Here is a 6,728-nt window from a genome sequence, read left to right as displayed (position 1 = left end):
GATTAACAGATCAGAGTCAGCCTTGGAGAAGAGCTTGGAATGCATGTTGCCCAGTTTTAGCCTAAGCCCTACAAAATGATGACATCTTTTTTCCCTCAGTGAATCCAGTGAGAAAATTGATGCTGTATTTGCAGGTGACACAAAATTAGAAGGAACAGTCAACACATTGGATGAAACAGAATCAGAAACCTGATCTCAGAGGATAGAAAATGGGCTCAAATGAGTCAAGTTAAAAAAAAAAAAAAACTACATGTGTAAATGGGAGAGAAATGGATTCACATCAGCAGCATGTGTAGAAAAAGATGAAGGGTTTTAGTTAAGTTCATTGTAAGAAAAAGAAGTGTCAAAAGAGTTCATGTTATCATAGACTGTATTAATTAAAGAATTAGTAGCTTAGAGAGGAGATGCCCAGAATAGTCTGTCAGTGGTGTCAAATGTTACAGAAATGTGCAAGAAAATGCATTTGAGATATGTATTTGGTGATGAGGTTATTGTTTACTTTCCAAAGTGATTTCAGTTAAATAATTAAGGTAGGGACCAAAAAAAAAATTTTTAAGGAGCAAACAGAATGTGAGCAAAAGTACCCATTAGAGGGCTTTGATTGGTAAAGGGAAGAAAATAACTTTTAGATAGAGAAGATAAGCTAATATTAGATTAATGTTAAGTACTCTTGTTTTTTTAAAAAAACTTTGAAATTTTATGCAATTTAGAGTAAAACAATTAAAATTCAAAAACTACATGCTTAGTATTCCTAGATTATTATCCAGCTTCAGCTGTGCTGTCTCTAATAATCAGTAATTTTTATATTTTATTTTAATTTTTTTTAAGATAAGCATATCAGAAAGACCAACTCTGGGTGATACAAAGGAACTAGAATATGGTTTAGCAGAATTATTGGAGTAGTAAAAAGAAAAGAGGAATCTAAACTGTGAGCAACAGCAGACAGAAAATTTTCTGCCTATCAGCTCTACCATAAAGAAACAACCTGTATAGGAAACATGGGCCAGAATGGAACAGAGAAAAGAGTCAGAAGATGATGAAGAACCCAGACAATAAAAAGAGGAGCACTAGAAGTAAAAGGAGGACAGAAATTCTGCCCAAACCAGGCTAGACTACAAGCTTCATAATTTTTGAATAAGGAAAGAGTAATAGTTAACACCGAACCACAATATGGTTTTCTAGTTGAATAATTTGTAGCTTGTTATGTGGATATGTATGCTTAGGTAGATAATGAGGACTACAGCTATACCATGAAAAAGAGAGGGAGAAGAAGAGAGAGAGAGAGGGAGAGAGAGAAAGGAAAAGAGAGGGAAGAAAGACAGGGAAAACTACTCAAGAGCAGCCTGCCCATAAAAAGGAGTACTACAGACCCTGGGAGTGAAGCACATGATCCTTCTCATGGCACCACACCAAAACAACTGATTCTGTATTTGTAAAGGGTGAAAAAATCTTTCTGAAAAATTGACTCTACCAAACACATGCATGAAGTTAAGCAAATGTCAAATTGGTACAATTACTATATTTCTTTGCTTCTTTGTTTAGTATCACAAAGAGTTCAAAAATTACAAATAGTTTCAACTTACTAAGAAGTTGTTTTCTAAATGTTAGTTGGCAAATCAGTTCTATGACAGCAAAGTGTTGTGGTTCAGAGTGGAGCCAGACAGCCCAGATTCAAATCCTGATGCCACCACCTACTTAATTAATTGGGCCCTGAGCTTCCACATCTATAAAATGGGATAGCTACTCAAAGGATTGTTCTGCTGTAATTAATAAGTTAGTATATTGAAAGTCTTTAGGACAGTGGTTGGTACTTAATCAGTGTTAAACAAATGTTAGCTATTGTAATTAGCATCCTTATAGAAAGAGGAACAGGAGCATAATAGGGCCGTGGCTATGGGAAAAAAACAGGAGAGAAATACCATGTCACCAGGAAACTGATGATAAACAGGCATAAGTCATTTTATTGTGCTTTAAGGCATTTTGCAGATATTGTGCTTTTTTACAAATTGAAAGTTTGTAGCAACCCTGCATTCAGCAAGTCTGTCAGCATCATTTTTCCAACAGCATGTGCTCACTTTGTGTCTTTGTGTCACATTTTGGTAATTCACATAATATTTCAGACTTTTATATTATTTTTATATTTGTTATGGTGATCTGTGATCAGTGATTTTAATGTTACTATTGTAATCGTTTTGGGATTGATAAATGTTGTGTGTGTTCTGACTGCTCCATCAACCAGCCATTCCCCAATCTCTCGCCTTCTCCTCAGGCCCTCCCTATTACCTAAGACACAATAATATTAAAATTAGGACAATTAATAACCCTATAATGGCCTCTTAAGTTTTCAAGTAAAAGGAAGAGTTGCACATCTCTCACATTAAGTAAAGAGATAGAAATGATTAAGCTAAGTGAGGAAGGCATCTTGAAGGCCAAGACAGGCTGAAAGCTATGCTTTTTGTGCCAGTTAACCAAGTTGTAAATGCAAAGGAAAAGTTCTTGAAAAAAATTAAAAGTGCTACTCCAGTGAACACGTGAATGATAAGAAAGTGAAACAGGCTTATGGCTGATATGGAGAAAACTTGAGTGGCCTGGAGAGACGATCAAACCAGCCACAACCTTTCATTAAGCCAAACCTAATCCAGAGCAAGGCTTAACTCTCTTCAATTCTCTGAAGGCTGAGAGAGGTGAGGAAGCAGCTACAGAAGAAAAGTAGAAAGCTAGCAGAGATTGGCTCATGAAGTTTAAGGAAAGAAGCCATCTCTGTAACATAAAAGTGCAAGGTAAAGCATCAAGTGCTGTTGTAGAAAGTGCAGCAAGTTATCCAGAAGATTTAGCTAAGATAATTGAAGGAGGTGATCGCGCTAAACAAAAGATTTTCAATATAAATGCAACAGCCTTCTACTGGAAGAAGATGACATCCAGGAATTTTGTAACTAGAGAGGAGAAATCAATATCTGGTTTCAAAGCGTCAAAGGACAGGCTGACTCTCTTGTGAGAGGCTAATGCAGGTGGTGACTTAAAGTTTATGCCAATGCTCATTTACCATTCTGAAAATTCTAGAGCCCTTAAGAATTATGCTAAACCTACTCTTCCTGTGCTCTAGAAATGAAACCGCAGAACCTGGATGACAGTGCGTCTGTTTACAGCATGGTTTACTGAATATTTTAAGCCCACTGTTGAAAACTACTGCTCAGAAAAATAGATTTCTTTCAAACTATTACTGCTTATTGACAATGCACCTACTTATCCAAGGGCTCTGCTGGAGATGTGCAAGCAGATTAATGTTATTTCATGCCTGCTAACACAAGAGTCATTCTGCAGCCCATGAGTCAGGAAGTAATTTTGACTTCCAAATCTTATTATTTAAGAAACACATTTTGTAAGACCATAGCTACCATAGATAGTAATTTCTCTGATGGATCTGGGCAAAGTCAATTGAAAAGCTTCTGGGAAGGATTCACCATTCTAGATACCATTAAGGACATTCATGATTCATGAGAAGAGGTCAAAATATCAATATTAACAGGAGTTTGGAAGAAGTTGATTATAACCCTAAAGGATGACTTTGAGGGGTTCAAGGCAGAATGGAGGAAGTAACTGCAGATGTGATGGAAATAGCAAGAGAACTAGAGTTAGAAGTGGAGCCTGAAGATGAGACTGAATTGCTGCAGTATCATGATCAAACTTTAACATATAAGGAGTTGCTTCTTATGGATGAGCAAAGAAAGTGAGATGGAATCTACTCCTGGTGAAGATGTTGTAAACACTGTTGAAATGACAACAAAGGATTTAGAGTAAACTTCGTTGATGAAGAAAGAGCAGGGTTTCAGACACCAATTTGAAAAGAGGTTCTATGAGAGTAAAATGCTATTACACAGCGTCACATACTACAGGGAAATCTTTCATAAAAGGAAGAGTCCATCAATGCAGCAAACTTCATTGTTGTCTTATTTTAAGAAATTGTCACAATCACCTCAATCTTCAGCCACCACTACCCTGACCAGTCAGGAGCCATTAACATCAAGGCAAGACCCTCCACCAGCAAAAAACTATATATATATATGACTCATTTATGGCTCTGATAATTGCATTTTGTAGCAATTTAAGTATTTTTAATTAAGGTATGTACATTTTTAAAGACATAATGCTATTACACACTTAGTTGACTATAGTTTAGTGTAAACATAACTTTTTTTTAATTTATTTTTTTTTAATTATACTTTAAGTTTTAGGGAACATGTGCACATTGTGCAGGTTAGTTACATATGTATACATGTGCCATGCTGGTGCGCTGCACCCATTAACTCGTCATCGAGCATTAGGTATATCTCCCAATGCTATCCCTTCCCCCTGCCCCCACCCCATAACAGTCCCCAGAGTGTGATATTCCCCTTCCTGTGTCCATGTGATCTCATTGTTCAATTCCCACCTATCAGTGAGAATATGCGGTGTTTGGTTTTTTGTTCTTGTGATAGTTTACTGAGAATGATGATTTCCAATTTCATCCATGTCCCTGCAAAGGACGTGAACTCATCATTTTTTATGGCTGCATAGTATTCCATGGTGTATATGTGCCACATCTTCTTAATCCAGTCTATCATTGTTGGACATTTGGGTTGGTTCCAAGTCTTTGCTATTGTGAATAATGCCACAATAAACATACGTGTGCATGTGTCTTTATAGCAACATGATTTATAGTCCTTTGGGTATATACCCAGTAATGGGATGGCTGGGTCAAATGGCATTTCTAGTTCTAGATCCCTGAGGAATCGCCACACTGACTTCCACAATGGTTGAACTAGTTTACAGTCCCACCAACAGTGTAAAAGTGTTCCTATTTCTCCACATCCTCTCCAGCACCTGTTGTTTCCTGACTTTTGAATGATTGCCATTCTAACTGGTGTGAGATGGTATCTCATTGTGGTTTTGATTTGCATTTCTCTGATGGCCAGTGATGATGAGCATTTTTTCATGTGTTTTTTGGCTGCATAAATGTCTTCTTTTGAGAAGTGTCTGTTGATGTCCTTCACCCACTTTTTGATGGGGTTGTTTGTTTTTCTCTTGTAAATTTGTTTGAGTTCATTGTAGATTCTGGATATTAGCCCTTTGTCAGATGAGTAGGTTGCAAAAATTTTCTCCCATTTTGTAGGTTGCCTGTTCACTCTGATGGTAGTTTCTTTTGCTGTGCAGAAGCTCTTTAGTTTAATTAGATCCCATTTGTCAATTTTGTCTTCTGTTGCCATTGCTTTTGGTGTTGTAGACATGAAGTCCTTCCCATGCCTATGTCCTGAATGGTAATGCCTAGGTTTTCCTCTAGGGTTTTTATGGTTTTAGGTCTAACATGTAAGTCTTTAATCCATCTTGAATTGATTTTTGCATAAGGTGTAAGGAAGGGATCCAGTTTCAGCTTTCTACATATGGCTAGCCAGTTTTCCCAGCACCATTTATTAAATAGGGAATCCTTTCCCCATTGCTTGTTTTTCTCAGGTTTGTCAAAGATCAGATGGTTGTAGATATGTGGCATTATTTCTGAGGGCTCTGTTCTGTTCCATTGATCTATATCTCTGTTTTGGTACCAGTACCATGCTGTTTTGGTTACTGTAGCCTTGTAGTATAGTTTGAAGTCAGGTAGCATGATGCCTCCAGCTTTGTTCTTTTGGCTTAGGATTGACTTGGCAATGCGGGCTCTTTTTTGGTTCCATACGAACTTTAAAGTAGTTGTTTCCAATTCTGTGAAGAAAGTCATTGGTAGCTTGATGGGGATGGCATTGAATCTATAAATTACCTTGGGCAGTATGGCCATTTTCACAATATTGATTCTTCCTACCCATGAGCATGGAATGTTCTTCCATTTGTTTGTGTCCTCCTTTATTTCCTTGAGGAGTGGTTTGTAGTTCTCCTTGAGGAGGTCCTTCACATCCCTTGTAAGTTGGATTCCTAGGTATTTTATTCTCTTTGAAGCAATTGTGAATGGGAGTTCACTCATGATTTGGCTCTCTGTTTGTCTGTTCTTGGTGTATAAGAATGCTTGTGATTTTTGTACATTGATTTTGTATCCTGAGACTTTGCTGAAATTGCTTATCAGCTTAAGGAGATTTTGGGCTGAGACAATGGGGTTTTCTAGATAAACAATCATGTCATCTGCAAACAGGGACAATTTGACTTCCTCTTTTCCTAATTGAATACCCTTTATTTCCTTCTCCTGCCGAATTGCCCTGGTCAGAACTTCCAACACTATGTTGAATAGGAGTGGTGAGAGAGGGCATCCCTGTCTTGTGCCAGTTTTCAAAGGGAATGCTTCCAGTTTTTGCCCATTCAGTATGATATTGGCTGTGGGTTTGTCATAGATAGCTCTTATTATTTTGAAATACGTCCCATCAATACCTAATTTATTGAGAGTTTTTAGCATGAAGGGTTGATGAATTTTGTCAAAGGCTTTTTCTGCATCTATTGAGATAATCATGTGGTTTTTGTCTTTGGTTCTGTTTATATGCTGGATTACATTTATTGATTTGCATATATTGAACCAGCCTTGCATCCCAGGGATGAAGCCCACTTGATCATGGTGGATAAGCTTTTTGATGTGCTGCTGGATTCGGTTTGCCAGTATTTTATTGAGGATTTTTGCATCAATGTTCATCAAGGATATTGGTCTAAAATTCTCTTTTTTGGTTGTGTCTCTGCACGGCTTTGGTATCAGAATGATGCTGGCCTCATAAAATGAGTTA

This window comes from Homo sapiens, chromosome 5, assembly GCF_000001405.40.
Source record: "Homo sapiens chromosome 5, GRCh38.p14 Primary Assembly".
Taxonomy (NCBI): Eukaryota; Metazoa; Chordata; class Mammalia; order Primates; family Hominidae; genus Homo; species Homo sapiens.
Note: the sequence above shows the minus strand (reverse complement) of the source record.